We start from the raw sequence: 25,729 nt of genomic DNA, 5'->3' as shown, positions 1-25,729 counted from the left end.
CAAGCAGTGTGGTCTGTAAAAAAAAAAACAAAAAACTCTATGCCTCAGTTTCCTCATCCGTAAAGTGACCCACCGCTGTGCTGGGATACAGAGAACAGCCCCTTCAGTTAGTGGCCTGGAAGCCAGACCTCTCAGAAAGGGTCCAGGAAGGCTGGAGTGAGATGGGGTGGGAGCGGCACTCACTCTCAGGAAAGTTCAGTTCAGAGGCAAGCCCTGTGTTGCGGGGTGCGGGGAGCCACGTGCCCTACCCTCCCTTGGCTGCTCGTGGGAAAAGGCCTAGAGGTTCGGGCCGAGAAGAGGAGCGAAAGCACAGAGCCGACTTCCCCTCACCCATCTGGGAAATGGGCTCGGGCCAACTGCTGACTTCGCGCTCGCTGGCGCAGCTCCCTGCGGAGACCTCGGCGGGGAGGGAGGCTGAACATCTGGATGACATTTCTGCGAGAGCGGCTCCGGAGCGGCGGTCGGGGAGGGAGAGGTGCGCTCGTGCGCACGTCGGGCCGGGAGGGAGGCGATTCCTCGGGGCCTGGGTCTTGTTTTTCTCGCTCTCTACCGCAGCCCCTTCTCCCGCCCCTCAGCCCCCACCCCGCAGCCCCCAGCCCCCGAGCCTCCCCGGCTCCCGACCAGCCGAGCTCCTTCACTGGCGGCCTCGCCTCGCCAGAGGGCACCCTCGATCTTCCGGAAAACGCCACCATTTTTCACTGCCCCTGGAGCGTCTCCAGGCTTCTGCCCGCCTCCCGACTCCGATCTTGTCAATGAAGAATCGGGCCAGGATCGCCGCGGAGCGGACGCCGACCCTCCGACCCGGCTCGCAGGCTGGGAGTCCCCTCTGCGAGGCTGGCATGGCCGCCCCTACCGGGTCCCGCGCCCTCTGCGGACCCTGCCCCGGGTTGGGCCTGGCCCGCGGGCGGCCCCGGGACCGGGGGACCAGGAGGGAGAGTAGACGCGGGCCGCGGACGGCGCGGACTGACAGCTGGCGAGAGGGCGCCGGGGCTGGGGGAAAGGGAGGGAGGGGGCTCATCGGAGTAACTTTCCAGAAAAACAGCCAACGTGTGGCAGGAGTGATTCCAAGAGGGGAAAAAAAGTTCAGCTACCACGTCGAACGAGAGGACTCGCAAAGTATTTTTCAAAAGGGCTCGGCTTTTCCTGTGCCTGTTTAAAACATTAACATCGTGCAGCAAAAGAGGCTGCGTGCGCTGGTCCCTCCCTCCCCCACCCCAGGCCAGAGACGTCATGGGAGGGAGGTATAAAATTTCAGCAGAGAGAAATAGAGAAAGCAGTGTGTGTGCATGTGTGTGTGTGTGAGAGAGAGAGGGAGAGGAGCGAGAGGGAGAGGGAGAGGGAGAGAGAGAAAGGGAGGGAAGCAGAGAGTCAAGTCCAAGGGAATGAGCGAGAGAGGCAGAGACAGGGGAAGAGGCGTGCGAGAGAAGGAATAACAGCTTTCCGGAGCAGGCGTGCCGTGAACTGGCTTCTATTTTATTTTATTTTTTTCTCCTTTTTATTTTTTAAAGAGAAGCAGGGGACAGAAGCAATGGCCGAGGCAGAAGACAAGCCGAGGTGCTGGTGACCCTGGGCGTCTGAGTGGATGATTGGGGCTGCTGCGCTCAGAGGCCTGCCTCCCTGCCTTCCAATGCATATAACCCCACACCCCAGCCAATGAAGACGAGAGGCAGCGTGAACAAAGTCATTTAGAAAGCCCCCGAGGAAGTGTAAACAAAAGAGAAAGCATGAATGGAGTGCCTGAGAGACAAGTGTGTCCTGTACTGCCCCCACCTTTAGCTGGGCCAGCAACTGCCCGGCCCTGCTTCTCCCCACCTACTCACTGGTGATCTTTTTTTTTTTACTTTTTTTTCCCTTTTCTTTTCCATTCTCTTTTCTTATTTTCTTTCAAGGCAAGGCAAGGATTTTGATTTTGGGACCCAGCCATGGTCCTTCTGCTTCTTCTTTAAAATACCCACTTTCTCCCCATCGCCAAGCGGCGTTTGGCAATATCAGATATCCACTCTATTTATTTTTACCTAAGGAAAAACTCCAGCTCCCTTCCCACTCCCAGCTGCCTTGCCACCCCTCCCAGCCCTCTGCTTGCCCTCCACCTGGCCTGCTGGGAGTCAGAGCCCAGCAAAACCTGTTTAGACACATGGACAAGAATCCCAGCGCTACAAGGCACACAGTCCGCTTCTTCGTCCTCAGGGTTGCCAGCGCTTCCTGGAAGTCCTGAAGCTCTCGCAGTGCAGTGAGTTCATGCACCTTCTTGCCAAGCCTCAGTCTTTGGGATCTGGGGAGGCCGCCTGGTTTTCCTCCCTCCTTCTGCACGTCTGCTGGGGTCTCTTCCTCTCCAGGCCTTGCCGTCCCCCTGGCCTCTCTTCCCAGCTCACACATGAAGATGCACTTGCAAAGGGCTCTGGTGGTCCTGGCCCTGCTGAACTTTGCCACGGTCAGCCTCTCTCTGTCCACTTGCACCACCTTGGACTTCGGCCACATCAAGAAGAAGAGGGTGGAAGCCATTAGGGGACAGATCTTGAGCAAGCTCAGGCTCACCAGCCCCCCTGAGCCAACGGTGATGACCCACGTCCCCTATCAGGTCCTGGCCCTTTACAACAGCACCCGGGAGCTGCTGGAGGAGATGCATGGGGAGAGGGAGGAAGGCTGCACCCAGGAAAACACCGAGTCGGAATACTATGCCAAAGAAATCCATAAATTCGACATGATCCAGGGGCTGGCGGAGCACAGTAAGTCCAAATTCTCGCTGGGGTGTCTGCTCTGGAGGGTCTGAACTGGAGCTGGGAGCTCTGCAGAGGGGGGCCTAGTGCTGGCCACACAGCAGGGTGCCCCAGGATTCACCAGCACCAAGGCTCAGGATGTGCGATGCTCCTCCGTTGGGGCTGGGGAGGTGGGTGGGGAAGGAGATAGAGCCATTCTGTTAAGAGCCGGCGCTTCTGGGAGGCCAGGAGCCCTGGAGCTGAGTGGCTTGCTGAATTCACATCACATCCTTGACTGATTTTAATTTGGAATTACATTGTGCTGTCCAGGGAAACATATGTATTCTTGCACATGCGATCGTATCAGTAACTGTAAGCATCTGGGTGCCATAAAGGGGAAGGCCGGCTCTGTCAGGAGCCCTTACGGTTCTCAGTGTGGAGACCTCATCTTCTCCCTGCTTTTCACAACTCATTGTGACACGTCTCCGTTTCAGTTTTTCCAGTTCTTGGGAAGAAGAATACCTGCCCCAAATTAATGTCTGTCAAGCTTTTTGAAGCCCAGGCAGGAGACAGCTTCTTGCTGCCTGGGCCCTTTGGTCTACCCCACCCACGTGACCCACGAGACCCACGTGAGCTGTGTGTGTGGAAGGAAGAGGGTATGCACGAATGTTCCCAGGGCCGTGTACTTTAGGGTGACATGCAGTCTTGTGCAGTAGACAGATTCATGTGCTCAAAATGGGCGCCCTCCAGGCCGGTGGGCACGGGGAGAGCGGGTTTTGGCTGTGGATGCGTAGAGGAGGCTGGCGCCCTTTGTGTCTGCGTGTCACGGGAGAGCGGGTGGAGGGGTGGCAGTGGGTGCATGGTGGGGGGGGGGGATATGTCTGGGAGCCTGCCGTCCCAGGAGGCTCTGTCTGCATGGAGGAGCCGGGCGGCTTCTGGGCGAGATGTCTGTGTGTGTTGGTACACGTGTGGAAGTCATATGTGTTTACTGAAGGGGATTTTAAAAACCTCAATACAAGAGAGAGAAATTTGGCAGATGTTGAGAAACTGACAGCCCAGGAAAGAGGAATGTGAGCCACTCGTGGGCCGTAGACTCCGGGAGCAGCTCTGTTTGCTTTTCCTACCAGCAGGTGTCCTCGCCGCCCTGACTACCTCAGCCCAGGCCCACCTGGGAGGTGGGCAGCTCCTGGAGTGGGGTGGAGGGCATGGGATGGAGCTGGCAGGCAGGGGAGGGTGGTCAGCAGAGCACACAGCAAGGGGTGAAAGGAACCTGGCTGGAGAGAAGGAACAGGAGTGGGTACCGATGGGTGGACCAGCTCTGGCTGGAGGTGCAAAGGCCCCGTTCACGGCTCCACGCCAGGCAGAGGAGCCTGTGGTTACTGGCGAGGGGTTCCCGCTCCAGCTTCCTGTGGCTGCCTGGAGCGCCTTTCTTCAGGATGTGGCTGCCATGTGGGGCGGAGGCTGGAGGCCGATGCAGAGCTACTACTCCCTGCCCAGGGTCTCTGGGTGGGGCTGGCTCAGAGACCCACAGTTCCCAGAGGCACCTAGCAGCTCGATGGCCAAGGCTCCAACTCCCTGGGAACCCACCAACGCGGGAGATAGTGACCACAAGCATCAGAGGAAGGTCGAAATCTGAGGCCGGCAGGAGAGGTGTGAGGAGAGTCCAGGGCAAGAGGGCAGGACTCAGACCTTCATGGTCTGGGTCAGCAGGAGGAGTCCAAGGGAGGAAGCATTCTGAGTCACCAGGACCCCCCCATCCCGGAATCCTGAGCTGAGAATGAATGAGCCACGTGGAGGCAAGGCCATGCAGGTGCAAGTGGACACTGATTTTGTGCAGACTCAAAGCACAAATAGCAGATGTCCTTGGGAAAAGCCCGGGCAGGGCCCCATAGATGCTGGGCAGCTTCCAGGCTGCAGTACCAAGACCTTACAACTGCAACAGATGGGTGGATGTGGGGTTATGGAGCAATGGTCTGGCCTGGGGCAACCCAGCACAGTGAGCAGGATGCTGTTCAGGATGCTGGGGAGGAGCCAACGTGCGATGCTATGAGGCTCACAGGTACAAACCGGAAGCAGGCAGACTCTGCAGCTGTTGGAGGTGACTTGGAGGCTGAGCAGACGGACCTGGGCCCGCCCTGCAGCTGGTCGGGTGCTGAGCCCACCCCAGAGAGGCAGACACACAAGGCACACTAACTATAAAGAAGGCAGTGGGCAGGTGCTGAGCAGGAGCAGAGAGCCATCATCAGGGGCTTGCAAGGCGGCGGGGCGGGGTGGGGGAAGGAAGCCTGTCTTTAACTCATGAGGGCAGACAGGGGTGACACCAGGTCTGTGGTGGGGCACAGCAGGGTCTCAATGCCAGAGCCTCTGCTGGGAGGTCATGAGATCACGTTCTGTTCCATATTTCCTCACTTCTGGCCACTTCCCTGACCCAGTGAACATGCATTCAAAGGAAAGTGACAGTAGGAGCCAGGGCAAGGAGATAGAGGTCCCTGGAGAGGAAAATGAAAGAGGAAATACTTTTTAGTAGTGCAGGAGAAAGGGCACCAAGGTGAGAGCAGAGAGGAAGGCCTTTTCCTAAATAACCTTTTCTCCCTGTTTTACAGATAAGGAAACTGAGACCTGGATTGCTTAAGTAATTTGTCCAAAAAGAGCAGGGACCCTAACCTAGACATTCTGTGTGCAGGACGCATGTAGTTAAGCACTCATTTATATGTAAAATACACGTTGTAAGTGTTACCTTTAACCTCCTTTAACCTTTAGGGTTCAGTAGAACTTTGATTTATAACATAAATGAATCATGTGTTGGACCAAGCAGGAGAGGTCAGAGTTATTATCTTAGTAACCCAGGTGGCAGATTGCACAATGATAACTGGATTTGTTCTTCCTTAGCTCTGCATTTTTTTTTTTTTTTTTTTGCCCGGGAGATTCATACTGCCACAAATGTTCTCCCTAATTTAATGAAGGAGTTTTCTTTATTTAATGAAGAGTCTCAAGCAGGTTAAGCAACCGCAGCTACGTAAAAGTGACCTCTCTGAGCCTCAGTTTCCCCAGCTGTAAAGTTAGAGATGATTTCCAAACTCCTTTTCAGCTGAAAGAATTTTATAATTCCATCTGGGATGAATCAGCAGAGCCTCTATTGGGGAGTATGGGCAAGACTCTGTAATCCTTTTTCTAATTCTCCAGGATTTTACTGTCGGGAGGGAGTAGAGAGTTTCTCTGACCCCATGTGATGGGAAAGGACACAGCTTTTTTACTTCCGTTGTCATCCCTCTTACAAAGGTATCACCAATGTAGGTGTCATTTTATCTTCTGGCTTGTAATTATCTGTCTCTGTTCGGAGACTTGTTGTTTTCAGCCAAGGGCAGCGCTAAGACAACCAGCAAACCCAGAGTTTCTCAGCAAAGAGAAAACTCTATATTTTAGTCTTTGTTCTCTAGCTGCTAAGTGTAGATTTTGTTTATTCTGAGAATTATTCTGAAAATCATTTGCTCCAAGGGCCAATGCCCTCTGCACAGTAGAGGTCAGCACTTCTCCAAGTGTGGTCCAGAGGAAGCTGGAGGTAAATGTAGATTCCCTGGTCCCACCCACCCTTATAGAATCAGAATCTTGAGGGGGTGGAGTCTTGGGGAACCTGTATTTTCGACAAGCTCCTTATGGATTCTTAAGCACATTGAAGCTTAAGAGTCAGTGAACTAGGGCGAAACTTTTCTTAGAGGGATGGCAAACACAAGTGCCTACAGAGACCCGGCAGGAAATGCAAATGATCTGGAAGAAAAGCCACGGCGTCATGATAAACTGCACCAGGACACTTGGTCTTGGGGTCAAGAAGAAAGTAGGGTGTGTGAGACAGGGAGAGGGAGGGGACCTGGAGCCCACGTGCCCAGCCAAAGCAGCAGCCAGCCTCAGTTCTTGCTGGGTTTTGCATTGAGGACTGTGGGTCCAGCTTGATTAGTTCTTCCCGTGTCCCAGAAAAGCAGAAAATCTGGATCTTTCTGTGAAGTGTTCCAATTTTTAACATGGGCTTAAAATGTTTATGGGCTTCTAACTCAAAATTTTTAAAGGTGTTCCATCAGCGAAACAACATGTCTAATTCATTTAACGGTTAATCAATAGAAAGCTCACACCATTAAAGCAGTGGTTTCTCAAACTTCCAGAACATCTAGAAGCCATGGTGCCCTTTGCAACACATTATAATCTGTGGTTCTCAACCCTGGCTGCACGTTAGAATCATCTGGAGATCTTGAAAAAAATATGCCGTGGACCCCACTCACTCCAGTGTAGTCAGAACTGCTGGGGAATGGGTCCAGGAATCATTTGTTTTTAAAGCTTTCCAGGTGATTCTAATGTGCAGCCAGGGTAGAGAAGTACAGCCACACTGATAAATATAGTCCCTTCACTAGAACCAGCAGAAATGATATATACAAGCAAAGGCACACCTAGCCACCCAGGTGTCTGAACACATTTTAAAAGGCAGTTAACTAAACATGGTCAGCTATTTCCTGGTTTTTCCATGCATACTGTACATGAATATTCTTTGCTTATGTTTTGCCCCGTTAAACAAAATAGAGAAAATGGCATTCACCAATATATATTTTTTCTGTGCAATGGAAAAAGTTGCTCAAGATTTAATTTGTAAAGGTGGGACCCCCTAGTCCAGCTCTCAATAATACTAGTGTTCTGTGAGGCATGGCTTAAGAACCACAAACTCGTTTGCAGTGGGTCATTGTCTGAGGCATAGGTTGACACTCTAGGCCCATTTAGTGGAATCTTGCCATATTTTGTTGATGAAACCATCTTCACCAGATGATCTCCCAGATCCCTCCCAGCTTGAAGAGTCTCTGCTTCAATAAATGAGGTATGTTCAGAAGACCTGGGTTCAAACCCCACCTCCACCACCTTCTAGTTATGTGACCTTGGGAAAGACATTTAACTTTTTGAGGCTCAGTTTTCTCATTTGTCAAGTGATAAATTTTACATGTTTTCATTCTTCTCAGGGGTTGTTAGAAGGTCACATGAAGTAATAAAAACTCGACAAAACAAGGTGGTGCTATTACATTTTGCTTATTTATGTATACGATGATTCATTCCACAGATTACTTAAAACATCATTATTCAGTGAATTTGATTGTCAAGAAGATTGTATGTACATTTTCTTTGATCTCCCAGGCAATTCTTTTTTTTAATTAATTTTAATTTTAATTTTTTTGACAGAGTCTCACTCTGTCACCCAGCCTGGAGTGCACTGGTGCAATCTCGGCTCACTGTAGCTTCTGCCTTCTGGGTTCAAGTGATTCTCATGCCTCAGCCTCCCGAGTAGCTGGGGTTACAGGTGCCCACCACCACACCCAGCTAATTTTTGTATTTGGAGTAGAGATGGGGTTTTGCCATGTTGGCCAGGCTGGTCTCGAACTCCTGACCTCCAGTGATCCACCTGCCTCGGCCTCCCAAAGTGCTGGGATTACAGGCATGAGCCACTGTTCTCGGCCTTTAAAATTTTTAATTTTAAATAATAGGGATAGGTCCTCCCTATGTTGTCCAGGCTGATCTTGAACTCCTGGGCTCAAGCAATCCTCCCGCCTCAGCCTCCCGAGTAGCTGAAATAACAGACATGTGCTACCATGCCCAGCTAATTTTCGTATTTTTTATAGAGATGGGGTTTCACCATGTTGGCCAGGCTGGTCTCAAACACCTGAGCTCAAGCAATCCACCCACCTCAGCCTCCCAAGGTGCTGGCTGGGATTACAGGCGTGAGCCACCATGCCTGGCTGCCAATTCTTCTTCTTCTTCTTCTTTTTTTTTTTTTTTTTGAGATGGAGTCTCACTCTGTTGCCCAGGCTGGAGTGCAGTGACACAATCTCAGCTCACTGCAACCTCGACCTCCCAGGTTCAAGTGACTCTCCTGCCTCAGCCTCCTGAATAGCTAGGATTACAAGCATGCACCATCATGCCTGGCTAATTTTTGTATTTTTAGTAGAGACGGGGTTTCACCTTGTTGCCCAGGTGCCAATTCTTTTTTAATCACTAGCAATTGTGTCCTAAGCTTTGCTTGCTAGTGTCAAGTTGCTTGTGTCAGCTAACTTCTGAGTGACTCTGGCCAAGACCCTCTAGACAGCCATTTCTTCCTCTGAAGAGGGTTGCGCCACATGACTCCTGATGTCCCTTCTAATCATGGGAAATCTATATATCCCAGTAATAGAAAAATGACCTTTCCCACCTCTTTCTTGAAACCTTAAAATTCTCCCCAGGATGTGTTCATCCTGGGGAGCAGATTATGATTGATAGGCTGGAAGAAACCAAAGAGGACGGCCACTAGGGTGTCCTGAGAACTCTCTTAGCTCATAACTTTCCCCATCTCCTGGCTTCCCACTGCCTTGACCCACTCTGACTGTCTCACCAGCAAGTGCCATTTTCCATCTCCCTTCTTTTTTTTCTGAGATGGAGTCTCACTCTGTTGCCCAGGTTGGAGTGCAATGGCACCACCTCAGCTCATTGCAACCTCTGCCTCCTGGGTTCAAGCGATTCTCCTGCCTCAACCTCCTCAGTAGCTGGGATTACAGGCACGCACCACCAGGCCTGGCTAATTTTCATATTTTTAGTAGAGACAGGGTTTCACCATGTTGGTCAGGCTGGTCTCAAACTCCTGATGTCGTGATCTGCCCACCTCGGCTTCCCGAAGTGCTGGGATTACAGGCGTGAGCCACCGTGCCCGGCCCCATCTCCCTTCTTTTTACAGCAAGGTGCATGTTGCACTGACTTACCCTTTATTCCTCTTGTAGTCACTGGAGCTGTGTTATTTATTTACTTTATTAATTTATTTATTTACTTGAAACAGAGTCTCCCTCTGTTGCCCAGGCTGGAGTGCAGTGGCACAATCCTGGCTCACTGCAATCTGGACCTCCCGAGCTCAAGTGATCCTCCCAGCAGGTGCTATTGTAACTGAAGCCATATCAATAACAGCTCCTTCAAAACCCAGCTCTGTTGTCCTTGATAGGGTTGCCAATGCAAGTAGCTTATCCACATTCAGAGTATTACAAACTTGTAAACTTACACATTACTTAACTATCACTGATTTCTCTCCTTGGTTCTATCTGAAATGGTTTAGGGAATCGTTGGCAGTATCTGTTCTTTCAAAGCCAATTATTAATCAGGGCTTCATTAGACAGCATTCACACATTTGTTTTCCTAACATCTGTTCCATTAATTTTCTAAGAACCAGCGTCAGGCCCACCAGATGGCAATTTCCAGAAACACTCACTCATCCTTTCCTGAAGATCAGTAGCGCATTTGCTTGTTTCCAGGCCTCTGATCCTTCCTGCCTTGTCTGTGACTTCCTCAACAACCCCTCGGGGTGATTATAAGCTCATTCCAGCCATGTCCATTATGTGTGGAATCTGGGTCTATGAGCTTGAATTTCAACTTCGGGCTATTGTTACCATTTGTGCAGAAAGTTTTTCTCTGGGTGTTAATACTGCTCAGACCTTGAGGCTGTCAAGTGTACAGGAGCAGAGAAAAGACAGGCTCTTTCTCTTTCTCTGGCTCAGAGGGGTGGGAAAGAGCATTCGCTGCCCACATCTTGTGGACAGGGATGAAGAGGCCAGCAGGTGACAGCGTCTGGCATAGCACGTGCTGTCAAGGAAAGAGAAAGGAGCCAATGGTGACACACCAGCTTGGTCAGAGGAAGCATCTGTGTTTCTGCCAGGCTCATGATGTGGGCTCTTTGCTATATAAGCCCTGCTTTATTGGGTCTAAAACACAAGGTTGAGATGTCACTGCACTGCTCAAACACTTTCAGTGACTCCCTACTGTTAATGGGTTAAAATTTAACCTTTTAGTCTGACAGGTGGACCCCAATCTATCATCTTGCCCTTTCTCACCTGGCTCCCACCTGCTGTTTCGGGCCCCTCTTACTCATTTGCATTTCCTCCCCTCCCTGCCTTTGCTTCCAGCAGTCACTCCATGTAACATTTCTTTCCTCCCCATCCTCAAATCCTCTCAATTTTCACCCCTTCCGTGAAGTGCTCCTTGCCATTTCCCTCCTTTGATTTCCTGCAGCAACTCCTGGACTTCTCTGAAAACCACTGGTTTCCTGTCGCTCCCCTCACCTGTGCTCCTGCATTGTGACATCTTCCGGGGCACTCTGTCCTATTATTTCTCTCTAGTCCTGTTATTTGGGCCCATGTATTAATACCCCCCCTTAGATATTAACCCATAAGCCTGAGGCTGCACTTTTTTGAATTTTGAAATCAGACCTTGGCCTTGACCTTGAGCAGCAGGATATAAATAACTCTTACATGCTTAGCGTTCCAATAATGGAACACCAGGCATAAATGGGTTTTAATCCCCTTGAAGGCAGGGGTTGTGTCTACTCATGTTTTGCTTCCCAAGGTTAGCACTATGCTTGGCATATAGTAGCTGCTCAATACATCTTTGATAAATGAATGAATGCCCAGATGAACAAACACACGAATAAATCAACTAGCTGTAAGATATGTAAACTACTAGGTGCTGATATCTTTCTAGAATCAGTATTTTCTCAAAAAGTAGGAAAAACGGGTTGGAAAACTTACCAGAACTGAGATGTCAAGGCAGTGGGAGGAGGGGGCAATTAGATTTGACTGGCCAGTCTAGTGCCATGTTGTGGAGCTCTGAGGCCACACTGCTCCTTGCTCAGGACTGTGTGTGATTCTAGGGCCACCAAGAATCTTCCTCGTATCTCCACCTTGCGGTCTGAGGCCTCAAGCCTCTAGGGAGGTGGCAGGCGGGACGGTGGCCACTTGGTGCCTGTCCGTTGGCAGCACACTGTTCCTGCATGTCTCGCTCATGCTGTGCCCTCTGCTCTGCTTTATCTCCTAGACGAACTGGCTGTCTGCCCTAAAGGAATTACCTCCAAGGTTTTCCGCTTCAATGTGTCCTCAGTGGAGAAAAATAGAACCAACCTATTCCGAGCAGAATTCCGGGTCTTGCGGGTGCCCAACCCCAGCTCTAAGCGGAATGAGCAGAGGATCGAGCTCTTCCAGGTAACTCCTCTCTCAGAGCAGAAACCACACCGACGGGAAAGCTGGTTCCTTTGCCATATCAGGGCACCACTGGGTGCAGCGTTTGGCAGACCTGGGTTTGAATCCTGGCTTCTCTGAGCCTTCGTTTCCGTATCTGTGTCTGTCATTAAAACACTTAAGAGTTAGCTAAGGTGCTCGAGGGCCATGGCATTCAGGAACCACTGGTTTCCTATCGCTCCCTCACCTGTGCTCTGCATTGTGACATCTTCTGGGGCACTCTGTCCTGGTCTCGGGTACTCACTCCTTTCTCTGCCCTGTAGATCCTTCGGCCAGATGAGCACATTGCCAAACAGCGCTATATCGGTGGCAAGAATCTGCCCACACGGGGCACTGCCGAGTGGCTGTCCTTTGATGTCACTGACACTGTGCGTGAGTGGCTGTTGAGAAGAGGTAGGTGGACCCTTCAGATAAGCATTTCAGAATGAACCTCAGGTCCCTTAGTCCTCCATGAAATGGAGGGAAGAGGACAGAATTAAGGGAGTCAGAGATCTGGGTTCAAACCCTAGCTTTGCCACTGAGTATCCTCCATTCATTCACTCAACTAATGTTTATTAAATGCTCACTGTAAGACAGGCCCTGGGGATGCAGCCACAGGGATAGGAACTATGAGAAATAGAAAGAGGGCAATGTGACAATGAGTGGGTGGAGTCCAACAGGGAAGGTCTCTATGATGAAGAAATTCATGCATTGACATCTGAATGATAAGGATTTAGCCCATGAAGATCAGAATAAGGGATGTGCTAAGCAAAGGCAACAGGGAGGCCCAGGCCCTCAAGTGGAAATAAGCTTGATTTGTTCTAGCAGCAGCAGCAAACAGATCGGTGTGGCTGGAGCATGGTGAGCTGGGGAGGGGAAGAGGAGGGGAGGTGGTCAGGGAGGTTGCTGGGGCCATATAATTTATTATTACTATTATTATTATTATTATTATTATTATTATTATTATTATTATTATTTCTTGAGACTGAGTCTCGCTCTGTTGCCTAAGCTGGAGTGCAGTGGTGCGATCTCTGCTCACTGCACCTCCACCATCTGGGTTCAAGCGATTCTCACGTCTCAGTCTCCTGAATAGCTGGGACTACAGGTGCACGCTGCCACACCTGGCTAATTTTTTTGTATTTTTAGTAAAGATGGGGTTTCACCATGTTGGCCAGGCTGGTCTCGAACTCCTGACCTCAAGTGATCCGCCCACTTTGGCTTCCAAAAGTGCTGGGATTATAGATGTGAGCCAGCATGCCCAGCCAATTTAATTTAGAACATCATCAGGTCATGGCGAGGTTTCAGGACTTATTCCAGGTGTGATGAGAAGTGTGGGAGTGCTATAACCAGAGCTGGGGATACTCAAGATACCCAGGAATTCCTTCCTGTCCCTCTACTGGGTGTGAAGTCAAGAGCCTAGGAGAACCCACGTGGATCTGCCAACGGCAGCTCTGTTGGGAATTCTGACTCAGACAGCTACAGGGAGGAGGGGCTGGGTGAGGTGATTTGATTGACATCTTTAAAAGATCCCTCTAGTTTCCAGGAGGTCAAGGGAAGAGGCAGGAAAATGAGTTAGGAGCCACGGCGGCAGCCCAGATGAGAGCAATATCTAGGCCGAGACTAGGGCGGTAGCAGTGGATATGACGATCAGATGGATTTGTTCTGTATTTTGAAGGTAGCCAGTAGCACAGGCTGATTAGGTATGGGATGTGAGGACACAAGAGCATTCCAGATAACTTCTAAATTTTTTCGACATCCAGGTGGTATCACTTATTGAAATAGGGGGCCTAGGAGAAGAACAGGTTCTGTTCTGCCCAGTTAAGTTTAAAAGGCCGGGTCGTCATGCAAGTAGAGCTATCCTGGAGGCATATCAAACTTCACATGTCCCAAATATCTTACCCACACACTGCCTTCACCTGGAAAATCAGGCAATGGTTCCTCCTCTATGTATGCCTCACAGAGCTGTTTTAAGGATCAAATGTATTTGAGAGAACTTCATGGTTTTTACCATGTTTTACAAGAGTAAGCTTTTCTTATTTTAGATAAGGAAACAGGCCGAGAGAAGTTAAGTGACTTGACCGAGGTCGTCCAGTCTGGATTAGAACTTTGGTGTCTCATGACACCATCCTCTGTGTTTCTTTCCCTTTTCTTGGCTGGTACTGCCTGGTCTGATGCTCAGTGGGTTGGGGTCACAGATGGCAGTCCCATCTGTTCCTTCTCTTCCTCTTGGGCAAGGTTTTCTCCTGTCATCAGCTGCTATAAAGCCACAGACCATCCACATATTGATGCCCAGAGTCCCTGAGGCAGGTGGATCCTTCTAAGTCCTTGGTGTTTTAGGCAACTAAGAGTTAAAGCTCAAAGGCAGAGCTTACAAACTATTTGGCCTGCACATTGTTTTCGATTTGACTAGTCATCAACAGTTTTGGGTGTTTTAAGTCAGGAGATTTCACATAAAACCTGGACTTCTTGCTGTTTTTGAAAAATCGAAAGATTTCCTGATAACCATCCGTCAGAGATGAGTACCGGCCACCCCTTGAGATGGGGTATGCATCCTCAGTCCCCGCAGCCCCCACCATTCCCTATTGTTCCCCAAGAGTGAGGCTGGCAGTTCCTGTTTAGCATCATGTGCTGGCTCGATTTTCTCACTTACGTGACCTGCCTGGGCTCGGTAGCCATCGAGTTTGCATTGCTTGATGCCACGGAGCCCAGGCAAGTCACATAAATGAGAAAATTCCCCATCCAAGGGGAATTATCCAGTGGCTGAGTTGGCAGATGGTGGGCTGAAGATCCTGCCCCAGTCCCAAGGGTACCCAGGAATTTCATCCTGTCCCTCCTACTGAGCATGAAGGCAAGAGCCTAGGAGAACCCACGTGGATCTGCCGACAGCAGCTCTGTTGGGAATTCTGACTCAGACGGCTACAGAAAGGAGGGGCTGGGGAAATTAATCTCTTAACTTCCCTGTCTGATTTTGATCAGCTCCACCTGGATTTCTTTGAAGCCCTGGGCACTTGAAGGAGTTCTTATTTTCACAGCTGCAGAACTCAATGAGAAGTTTGCATTGAGAATGATTTCCATCCTCCTGAGACATCAAAAAGATAATTTCGTAATAAAACCTATGGGTCCCCCACCCACCACCCCCACAGCTGCCAATTCTGAGGTTAGTTCTTCATTGGAACCTTCAGTTCACACTTAGGCAGATACTGCCCACCTTTCCCACAGGGGAATCATCACACAGGTTTGTACTTACAGAGAGCCCATGAGTCTCTTCAGAGTTCATGGCTTCAAACCAGGCAACAAAGGACTCCAAATTGGAGCAGTTGGCGGTGTAGATTGATGAGAAAACTGAGTCACACATGTGGTCTTGGATTCATTCAGCAAACATCTGAGAGCCCTTGTGCACCAGGTACCCAGGCTGCATTCTGGGTCGCAGAGTGGGTTGGAGTCCACAAGGGCCGCTGGGGACCCAGGTCTCATACCCTTGTGCTATTGCTCATATAGTCTGCAGCACCTAGCTAGGCAGGGCCAGGCCTCCCCTAGTAGGCTGGGGAGGGAGCCTCTCAGCATCATGGCTCAGGAAAGGTGGGACACTGGGAAACAACCATCTTGCATGTTGGTGAATGTGTGGGCATCTTCCTTGGTGGTCTCTGTTGCCCCCTCTTTACCCCTCCTTGTCTCTAACAAGAGTTTGGGATCTGGCATCAAGCTGTCAGTGCTTGAATCCTGGCACTACTATCCACTGGTTGGATATCTTGGGCAAGCTGTTTAATCTCCCTAAGCCTCAGTGTTCTTATCTGTACAATGGGGGATAATAGTTCTTGCTCTATGGGATTATTATAGAGATAGAATAAGTTAGTGATTGTTGTCATCATCTCTAAGTCCTCTATCTGGATACAGCCTGTTGGCCAAGCCAGGCCACCCTCTTGTGCTTACATCCTGGACCCTCACTCTCCCCAACACAGCTGTCTGCACCTTGACTTTCTAACTCACAGAATCATGGAACTCACTCACTCCAGGTCTCTTCCAGCCTGCCTTGAACCAGCTTGACCAGGAGGTACACTGTGTTGTTAGGTAGCCCATTTCAGCTACTTTGGCTCCTCCTTCCAGCTGCCTTAACCCAGGGAGAGGGCAATCCTCATACCTCCCTCTCCATTCACTTCTCCTCCAGCTGGGTCTCAGCTGCCTTGTTTTATTGGTCTGCCTTCCCTCACTGAGCGAACCTGCTGGAACAGAGATCTTCAAGCTCAGCAGGCGCAGTGTGCCTCAGAGGTTGCCCTGACTTAGGGTAGAGCAGATCTGGTTAGGCTCTGGAGTTTATGGAAGAAAGGAGCTGGGTTTTAACCAGTAGGACTGGGATGTCCAAGCCAACCTAATGTTGATGGGAATCTCCAGTCTTGTAGGCTTGTATCCTTCTGTCTATGAGAAGGTTGCTGGGCCAGGTTGGACTTTTTGGGGTTTGCCCTGATGGCACAATTTCAGGAAGACTCCAGGTTGTCTCCAAGGCCAGATGCTCACACACATGGTGTGTGGCCTCAGGGAGCAGCAAATCAATCAACTCATCGAGAGGCTGACCCTGAATCCAGAGAGGTCCATCCCCCATGACCTCTCCTACACCTGGCCACAACTGGCTGCTATCCCAGGATCAACAGAGCTTCCCAAATTAAGTCTTACCCACCAGAATTGACATGATACCAGATCCTACCTGGTTTTCTGTGTAAAACTACTTGTCTCAGTGCAGACTTTTCATTTTCTTTCTTTTTCCTTCACTTCACTCAACCTCATTTACTGAGTTCCTGCTTCCTTGATTTTGGTTGCCAAAACATGTGATCCCACAACTACTAGGCGAATGGGCTGGAGTTGCCCTTCACGCACCAGAATGTCAGGCACCAAACCCTGGCACCTCCAGGCTTCATCATGCTCACTGTCTCCGTGCTCAAGTCATCTGGACCCTCAGCCATAGTTCTCTATCATCTCCTCTGTGCTGTTTTCTAAGTTCACAACTGTCTTCCCAAGCTGTTCATCTTGGTGAGCAATCCACATTCCAACTTCCCATCATGGTGAACAAGGATTCCCAAAGAAGAAATGTCCAAGTAATTTTTACCTCGTTGTGTCCTTGTTCCTTAGGAAAAATATGGCCCAGTGTAACCGTGATCTTCATCTTATCTCTTCTAGAATCTGCCACTTTGTCTAGGCCCACAGTCATGGCCCTGGTAGAAATGCTTGCATCTTCCACTGAGACGGATTCTGCTTCCTGTTTGCAAGTGACCTTGCCTCTAGCATTGGTTCCTGACTTGAATCTTTTTGCCAGCATTACATCCTGTGGCTTTTTGAATTTGTGGCCTTTTGAATCACAGTCTCTGTGCTCGGAGACTCTTTAGTTACTCCCTGTCCGTAGTCTCTTCCAGTCCCTCTGCCTCTTGCCCTGATCCTTCTGCAGTAGATTGGCTCAACGATCCCCTCTCCCAAAAACCATGTAGATGGCATGAGTTTTTGCTTTCCTTACTGTATCTGTGTACTTTTGCCTCCAAGTAGGTAGGTGACAATTTTCTCTTAATACCATCCTTTCAAAGGGAATGATTATTCCACTTCTGTTTCATGATGGCCACTAGTGTATGCCCCCATTTGGTGATTCATAATACAACAGGAATACCTGGAATGTGGCAACGTGCGCTTGAAGGTCCACTCTGAGCTCTGGAGGCACTTTCTGTCTCCTGTGACCCTCAATAGAACTCAGTTCCTATGAGTCCCTATAGGAGCAGAGGCCCTGGCTCACCCTTGCATGGGTGGTGGGCACACTTCCCCATCACACAGAGGTGCTTTTCTCACTAATTCTGTCTTATTTTGCAGAGTCCAACTTAGGTCTAGAAATCAGCATTCACTGTCCATGTCACACCTTTCAGCCCAATGGAGATATCCTGGAAAACATTCACGAGGTGATGGAAATCAAATTCAAAGGTAACAAAATGAATGTGTATGGTAGGATGGGTGAGTGGGGGGGAAGTTAATGGGACAGGATAGTGCAGGAGACCCTTACCAGACCTCAAGAAAAGAAACCAAGCTCCTTCAGAGAGATAGCCGACTATTTTGTACTTGAGTAATTCTGCTTTGCCCCAAAAGCAATGAGTGTAACTTTCAGTTTATAGCTTAGAGAATGCATTAGCCTCTGGAAGACAACACGTACTGGTAAGTGGTGAAACTGTGTAGGCAAGCCATCTAGCCTCTGGTCCTAGTGAAATGGGATGAGAGTTCCTCTTTCACAGTGTTGTCAGGCAATTAAATGAGATAATGAATAAGGAACACAGTGCCAGAAATGCTCAACAGATAGGACTTGTCTTCCTCCTCCCTAAAAGAAATTAAGTTTGGCTGTCCTGAACATGAGTGCCCAGACAACTGAGCTTTCCAGATGTGCAGGGCCTACCTGACCTTGCCCAGGGGTCCTCTGGGTTTGGATGATTGCTTCGAGCCTCAGGGTGTTTGTCCCCGGGGTGTTTGGGTAGAGATGGCGAAGTCGTTGAGAGTCATTTCTGGTTTTCCATTATGTTTGCAAGGAACTCAGCCTTGATGATCTCTGGAGTTCAGGGAAGTTCTCTTTTCCTTTCATATTCCCATTTTGGGTAACTGCGGAACGCCTGAGGTCAGAGGCTTGTCTGGGAAAAGGTGCAGGCCTCTTTTGGCTCAGCGCTGGACAGTGATCTTACCCCACATGGGCTCTATTTTACAGCCTTTTCTTAAAGCCAAAGATTTGACACTGTAACCACAGAACCTTAGAGCCCAGAGGACCTTTGGAGTCCTTACCTACAGGCCAGCTTAGGATGAAACCTTCCCATTTCAGTGAATACTTATCTTGTTCATAAAGATTTTCAGAAAAAGGGATTTGTGATCCAGGTCTCTCATTTATCTTACAGATCTGGTGCCCCTTCCTGAGACCCGAGCCACTCCTGTAGCTATGTAAATTAATTCCTCATGTTCCTGTCCTCAGTGAGGATGGACAACAGTTGGCAGCTGTCCTTCGCAAAATCGATCTCCATTTAGTTGAGACTCTTTCTAAGTCAGTCTCCAGTCTTTTCCTTTTTTTTCAGATGAAACGGGTTGATGAATTTAGATTTTCTTTCCAGAGCTTATTTGCTATTTATCATATGCTTCATTATCTCATCTGAATTTTATAGTGAAAACACTTCAAAGACTCTAAGTGCAATGTGAATGTTAACAATTATACAGTCTTGTTTCTTTGGCTCCCATTCAGGCTATCTTAAGTTGTGACACCTTAAATTTTTGGTAGGACTTCTGCGTTATCTTGGTCCATTCACATTTTAAGAGGAAACTCACACCCCAAGATTCTAAGTCTAGAATCTAAAGTGACAATCCAGGGCTGGGTGCAGTGGCTCACACCTGTAATCTTAGCACTCTGGGAGGCCGAGGTGGGCGGATCACTTGAGGTCAGGAGTTCGAGACCAGCCTGGCCAACATGGTGAAACCCTGTCTCTACTAAAAATACAAAAATAGCTGGGCATGGTGGCATGCACCTGTAATCCCAGCTACTTGGGAGGCTGAGGCAGGAGAATCTCTTGAACCCCGGAGGCAGAGGTTGCAGTGAGCCAAGATGGGGCCACTGCACTCCAGCCTGGCCAACAGAGCGAGACTCTGTCTCAAAACAAACAAACAAACAAATAAACAAGCCGACAACCCGGAGATATGTGTTAGGTACCCACTTAGTAACAGGGATGCTTCATAGGTCCATGAAGATTCCTAGGAATCTCAGCAAGGGCTTTCTGCCCCTTGGAAGATTTCTATACAAGGGTATGGGGATCTGAACACGGGGCATCTTTCAGTGGGCATCCTTACAATAATAATGAGTTCTTTTGATACTGGCTTCTCCATCTGCTCTTCCCCTTTCTGCACCTGGACATCAGAATTAAGCTGCACTTGTCCCCCACACCTCCCTCGCAGACTGCACTGCCCCTCCTCCTGGGCAGTGATGGGGCGTGTGGAGGAGGCAGCCTCCAAGGGCTCTGCTCTCTTCAGACAGGAGATTGTCACTTTCCTTCCCTTCTTCAGGCGTGGACAATGAGGATGACCATGGCCGTGGAGATCTGGGGCGCCTCAAGAAGCAGAAGGATCACCACAACCCTCATCTAATCCTCATGATGATTCCCCCACACCGGCTCGACAACCCGGGCCAGGGGGGTCAGAGGAAGAAGCGGGCTTTGGACACCAATTACTGCTTCCGGTGAGACTGGGCCCACATGGGAACCAACATCTACTGCCTGCCTACTGCCCAATGGCTAGGTCAGGCCCCAGAGCCAAGCCACACTCAACAGAGGGTCCCTGATGCTATTCACAAACATCTCCAGGAAGAAGACTGAAAATCTCTCACAGAGATTTTCTCTGTGAAATCTCTTTCTGTTTTCCTGGGAGTCCCACTGTTTTTCCATAGGCTAACTCTGGAAGGAGCTGGCTGAAGTAAATGAGGAAAACTCTGTGAGGAGGAGTGTTGCTAAAATAGTTTGGATTGGAGAGGCTTGGTCAAAGCCTCTCCATGATTTCCATGTTTTAAGCACTTGTAGAGTGTATGTGTGAGATTAATGTAGGAGTTTCCATTAAAGAAGTGCTCAGTTAGTTCCCTATGAAGGGTCCAAGGATGCTACTGGATGGAGGCAAATAGAATGGTCTCCATTTGAACGGAAAGTTGGAGCTAGAGAAATTAACAAATGAATTCAGAAATTACTGGGTAGCCACAATAGAGAGATAGAAAAGACCCAGCTTCTCTTACTCAGGAGCAGTTTCACTGCTCATTTATAAAGGGAGGATAAAGTATGCATGCCAACTACTAAAAGGGAGAAGATGATCACGCCCATGAGAGGGTCCGAAGGATTAAGTGCTTTAACTGGGAGCAATGAGTTCACCTATGGACACAGGAAAGGCTTCAGAAGGGTGTGGAATTTGAGCAGAGGCTTCAAGGATGAGGTTTGGGGATGAAGGGATCCAGGAGGGGAAGCACTGCAGGTAAAGGAAGGAGCATGAGTGAGTGAGTCCATCTGGCCTCAGAGGATGCCGAAATGAAGCTGGGGAGAACGAATTGGGAAATATTTAGATCTGGAAACCATGTCTTATGAGGATGGTTGGGCTTGGGAAACTAGGGATGTTCAGTTGGGGGAACAGCTCAACAGCAAGGTATAGGAGAGGCAAGGTAGTTGCCACAAAGGCTGGCATGTAGATTTATTTATTCCATCAGTTAGGAACAAATCAGTTAGGAACGAATCAGTTATCAGTTAGGAACGAATCAGTTAGGAACGAATGATCTTGGCCAGTGACTTTAATCATAGTGATTTCTTGTTCACAAGAGGCCTGTAGCAGCAGGGTTAGGGTGGGCTGGCTGCTTAATGATGCCACCGAAGACTCAGGCTTTCTCTCTTTCCAGTCTGCCATGCTTAGTATGTTGGCTTTTCATCCTTTTCCTTATGGTCACAAGTGATTGCTAGGGCTTCAGGCACCTTGTCCACATTTAAGACAAGAAGGAATGAGGGAAGGGGAAGAGCCAGAAGCTTTCTTCTTCCATCTGTCACTTTTATAAATAATCGAATATCTTTGCCAGAACTTGCCCTTACCCCCTGCATACTTCTCCTTGTCTGATGGGTCATTACTGGGTCACATGACCACCGCTACTCTCAAGGGAGGACAGGAAAAGGAGCATCTGGTGTTTTCGACTCTGTAATGGGATGTCACAAGGGAGAAGGGAGTTAGGAATGGTTATTGAATAGATAACCAATGGTGTCTGCCATGGTTCACCCTTGGAACCCACAAGAAGCCAGATTTTGGCTAATAGCTGCCTTTGGAAGTAGCAAGTTCTAAGTCTCAGCAGATATTAAAGCAGAGGCTAGCTGTCCACTTGGCAAGCGGTATTATTGCCAAATGATCTCTGTAGGCAACAGAATTGAAGGGGCCTGATAATCACATTTGGGTGATCTGTTGAACCACGGTTCTAATAGAAGGATATGCCTTATTTGGCTAAATGGCCTTTGGATTGAGTCTCAGCAGTCACCTACTATAGTAGTCAAGCTGCATAAACTTAGAATTGATTTCTGTCTGGGTGCACATTAGGAGGGTAAAAATAAAACCAACCTCAACAAAGCTGAGTTGGCTAATAACATTCAGTGCTTGGTTTTATGTGGAGCGCTTCATAGCACTGCTTTGTATTGTGATAGAAAAGGGTGCAGGGCCACCTTTGCCTCTTTACTCTTCCTCATGCAGCATTTATCTCTGTTTCTTACATCCTTGGGATCCTGGTCTTTAACACATGAATGTGCCTTTCTGGTTTCTTCTGCCCCATGCCCTTGAACCTGGGATTCCATTGATCAGAGCCACCTATGATGGCATGAAAGGACTCCAAGGGAGAATATGAGAGCATTCATGAAGTTTCTTTTATTGGTGGTTTTAAGTTGATTTTCTATAAATGTTTTTTGTTGTAGCAACTTGGAGGAGAACTGCTGTGTGCGCCCCCTCTACATTGACTTCCGACAGGATCTGGGCTGGAAGTGGGTCCATGAACCTAAGGGCTACTATGCCAACTTCTGCTCAGGCCCTTGCCCATACCTCCGCAGTGCAGACACAACCCACAGCACGGTATGGAGCAGGCTCATGCCATCTGAGGCACTGGGGCTGACCGACCAGACCACTTGTTAAAAAGAATGAGTGAAGGATTGAATGTTGAGTGAGCAAATGATGGTCTGGGGTGAGTAAAATTCCTCTGGTGAAGGTTCTGATCTTGGCACCCTGACTCAGTTCTACTCAGTCACATTCTGCCCTTTTAAATTCCTACCATAGTTTCAACCAGCTTTTTAATTTGCTTTGTCCAAAGCTCTCTGTACCGTAGAAATTAATTAACTGCCACGTGTTACCCTATGTCAGAGATATGTGCATGTGGCTGGCAAGGAACACTGAAGTAGAAAGGCTTCTATCAGAACTCTGATCATTCCAGCCTCTCGAATGTAGAAAACTTACTCTGAAAGACAACAACAAGGATGGACAAGAAGCTAATTTGAAATGCTAGGAACAGAAAGTGAGATAGCCGAGAGTCCACAACCCCTGAAACTAGTCTGTCTTTCCCTTGAGGGGAATCAAAAATAGGGCAGTAATTTGTGAAGCATGTTTCCTTCTAGCTCATTGTTTCTGCATCCTGTCTGGGGCCCTGCACGCTGCACTTACTAAATGGCTCAAGGCAATGTTTTGTGAGAACATTTCTCACCGAAGTGATCAGTTCCAGCTAGGAAGAGCAATGTAAGTGTTTTCTTAAAAGCCAAGATAGGCCGGGCACGGTGGCTCACGCCTGTAATCCCAGCACTCTGGGAGGCCAAGGCGGGTGGATCACAAGGTCAGGAGTTCGAGACCAGCCTGGCCAACATGGTGAAACCCTGTCTCTACCAAAAATGTAAAAAATTAGCCGGGTGTGGTGGCACGCGCTTGTAATCCCAGCTACTTGGGAGGCTGAGGCAGGAGAATCGCTTGAACCCAGGAGGCGGAAGTTGCAGTGAGCCAAGATTGCACCACTGCACTTCAGCCTGGGTGAAAGAGTGAGACTCTGACTCAAAAAAAAAAAAAAAAAAAAAAAAAAAAAGCCAAGATAATTCGTTATCAGTGTAGTAACTGTCATATGCTTCAACTCATCACCCCAAACAAGTGCAGTTGTTCTGCTTCTGTCATTGTGGATGAACAGCAACTACACAACTACTCACTCACCCAAACCAGGTTCCAACAGTTTTTTTTTTTTTCTTTTTTTTGAGACAGACTCACTCTGTGGCTCAGGCTGGAGTGCGGTGGCACTATTTCTGCTTACTGCAACCTCTGCTTCCTGGATTCAGGTGATCCTCCCACCTCAGCCTCCCAAGTAGCTGGGATTACAGGCGCCTGCCACCACAGCCAGCTAATTTTTTTGTATTTTTAGTAGAGATGGGGTTTCACCATGCTGGCCAGGCTGGTCTCAAACTCCTGACCTGAAGTGATCTGCCTGCCTCTGCCTCCCAAGTCCTGGGACTACAGCTGTGAGCCACTGCACCCGGCCCCCAACAGTTCCTCTTAAAGAGCACCCGTGGCCATTCTAGCACTTGCTCAGCTTCTGGGACTGCCCCTGGAACTGGGCGACTTCCTGGGTTCCAGGCCTGAGACTTGGCCTTCCAACCTCTCACTGACATGTCCCTTCCCAGGTGCTGGGACTGTACAACACTCTGAACCCTGAAGCATCTGCCTCGCCTTGCTGCGTGCCCCAGGACCTGGAGCCCCTGACCATCCTGTACTATGTTGGGAGGACCCCCAAAGTGGAGCAGCTCTCCAACATGGTGGTGAAGTCTTGTAAATGTAGCTGAGACCCCACGTGCGACAGAGAGAGGGGAGAGAGAACCACCACTGCCTGACTGCCCGCTCCTCGGGAAACACACAAGCAACAAACCTCACTGAGAGGCCTGGAGCCCACAACCTTCGGCTCCGGGCAAATGGCTGAGATGGAGGTTTCCTTTTGGAACATTTCTTTCTTGCTGGCTCTGAGAATCACGGTGGTAAAGAAAGTGTGGGTTTGGTTAGAGGAAGGCTGAACTCTTCAGAACACACAGACTTTCTGTGACGCAGACAGAGGGGATGGGGATAGAGGAAAGGGATGGTAAGTTGAGATGTTGTGTGGCAATGGGATTTGGGCTACCCTAAAGGGAGAAGGAAGGGCAGAGAATGGCTGGGTCAGGGCCAGACTGGAAGACACTTCAGATCTGAGGTTGGATTTGCTCATTGCTGTACCACATCTGCTCTAGGGAATCTGGATTATGTTATACAAGGCAAGCATTTTTTTTTTTTTTTTAAAGACAGGTTACGAAGACAAAGTCCCAGAATTGTATCTCATACTGTCTGGGATTAAGGGCAAATCTATTACTTTTGCAAACTGTCCTCTACATCAATTAACATCGTGGGTCACTACAGGGAGAAAATCCAGGTCATGCAGTTCCTGGCCCATCAACTGTATTGGGCCTTTTGGATATGCTGAACGCAGAAGAAAGGGTGGAAATCAACCCTCTCCTGTCTGCCCTCTGGGTCCCTCCTCTCACCTCTCCCTCGATCATATTTCCCCTTGGACACTTGGTTAGACGCCTTCCAGGTCAGGATGCACATTTCTGGATTGTGGTTCCATGCAGCCTTGGGGCATTATGGGTTCTTCCCCCACTTCCCCTCCAAGACCCTGTGTTCATTTGGTGTTCCTGGAAGCAGGTGCTACAACATGTGAGGCATTCGGGGAAGCTGCACATGTGCCACACAGTGACTTGGCCCCAGACGCATAGACTGAGGTATAAAGACAAGTATGAATATTACTCTCAAAATCTTTGTATAAATAAATATTTTTGGGGCATCCTGGATGATTTCATCTTCTGGAATATTGTTTCTAGAACAGTAAAAGCCTTATTCTAAGGTGTATGTCTGACTCGATAAATATCCTTCAATTACCCTTAATTCCATGTCCGCATCTACTAATCAGAGGTAACCAGAATCTGGGGCAGAGAATCTGTCAATCACCAAACACATTGCTTAGCGCAACTCCCCTTACACAGGGGGCACACCGTGCTGACTTCCGCCTGCTAAGAAGACTGCACTATTGCTTGTGCGTCTTTCCTTCTTGCAGAGTATATTATTCTCAGAGACACAGAGGCAGTGGCTCAGATTGGCAGAAAGCACATACGAATTTGACCTCCAGATACCTGTGGGCAGGATCCCCTGGTGTGAATCCTTGCATATGGAAACATGGTTTATTTACTAACTATAAATTACCAACATCACTGTTTTCGAAAATCTCCCCCCACCCGTATCAGTTGAGAATGAGAGAAAATGTGTATGGCAAATGGCCTAAAAATATGAGGCTAATTCTGTTCTCAGGCTAAGCCTAAAAGAGCTAACCAGGAACCCCTTTTCAGATTGTGGCCCTCTTGTCAGGGATCTGGGAACCATAGCTCTCTTTTGAGTGAGGCCGTGGATCCC

General features: G+C 49.0%; 1 protein-coding gene across 3 annotated transcripts, besides 4 other annotated features; it reads left to right on the top strand.

The window, feature by feature from the left end:
• On the top strand, positions 257–25,171 carry TGFB3 (transforming growth factor beta 3). Of its 3 annotated transcripts, NM_001329939.2 has the most exons (8): positions 257–475; positions 1,509–2,726; positions 11,550–11,713; positions 12,013–12,142; positions 17,573–17,680; positions 19,781–19,952; positions 22,192–22,345; positions 23,923–25,171. In NM_001329939.2, exons 2-8 carry the CDS (start codon positions 2,375–2,377, stop codon positions 24,079–24,081), a joined length of 1,239 nt encoding a protein of 412 aa, NP_001316868.1. In that variant the 5' UTR covers positions 257–475; positions 1,509–2,374; the 3' UTR covers positions 24,082–25,171. The 3 variants fall into 3 exon arrangements, with proteins under 3 accessions (NP_001316868.1, NP_003230.1, NP_001316867.1); NM_003239.5 differs by lacking the exon at positions 257–475 and having other exon boundaries at positions 1,273–2,726; NM_001329938.2 differs by lacking the exons at positions 257–475; positions 22,192–22,345; positions 23,923–25,171 and having other exon boundaries at positions 1,273–2,726; positions 19,781–20,207.
• Positions 479–598: a silencer, noted in NCBI's record as "silent region_5954". NCBI's record gives its function as "represses an Ori minimal core promoter by ATAC-STARR-seq in GM12878 lymphoblastoid cells {active_cell/tissue: GM12878}" and the evidence as "EXISTENCE:reporter gene assay evidence [ECO:0000049][PMID:35858748]".
• Positions 639–698: an enhancer, noted in NCBI's record as "active region_8764". NCBI's record gives its function as "activates an Ori minimal core promoter by ATAC-STARR-seq in GM12878 lymphoblastoid cells {active_cell/tissue: GM12878}" and the evidence as "EXISTENCE:reporter gene assay evidence [ECO:0000049][PMID:35858748]".
• Positions 729–968: a silencer, noted in NCBI's record as "silent region_5953". NCBI's record gives its function as "represses an Ori minimal core promoter by ATAC-STARR-seq in GM12878 lymphoblastoid cells {active_cell/tissue: GM12878}" and the evidence as "EXISTENCE:reporter gene assay evidence [ECO:0000049][PMID:35858748]".
• Positions 22,842–22,891: a silencer, noted in NCBI's record as "silent region_5952". NCBI's record gives its function as "represses an Ori minimal core promoter by ATAC-STARR-seq in GM12878 lymphoblastoid cells {active_cell/tissue: GM12878}" and the evidence as "EXISTENCE:reporter gene assay evidence [ECO:0000049][PMID:35858748]".

This window comes from Homo sapiens, chromosome 14 (genome assembly GCF_000001405.40).
Source record: "Homo sapiens chromosome 14, GRCh38.p14 Primary Assembly".
Classification (NCBI taxonomy): domain Eukaryota; kingdom Metazoa; phylum Chordata; class Mammalia; order Primates; family Hominidae; genus Homo; species Homo sapiens.
Note: the sequence above shows the minus strand (reverse complement) of the source record. Positions and strands in the feature narration are given on the sequence as shown.

Excerpts from the sequence above, each read along its gene's own strand:
- TGFB3 (NM_001329939.2), top strand. The coding sequence starts at position 2,375 with ATGAAGATGCACTTGCAAAGGGCTCTGGTGGTCCTGGCCCTGCTGAAC. Across the intron at positions 2,727-11,549 it reads CCAGGGGCTGGCGGAGCACA|ACGAACTGGCTGTCTGCCCT; the intron begins GTAAGTCCAAAT and ends TTTATCTCCTAG. Across the intron at positions 17,681-19,780 it reads GATGGAAATCAAATTCAAAG|GCGTGGACAATGAGGATGAC; the intron begins GTAACAAAATGA and ends TCCCTTCTTCAG.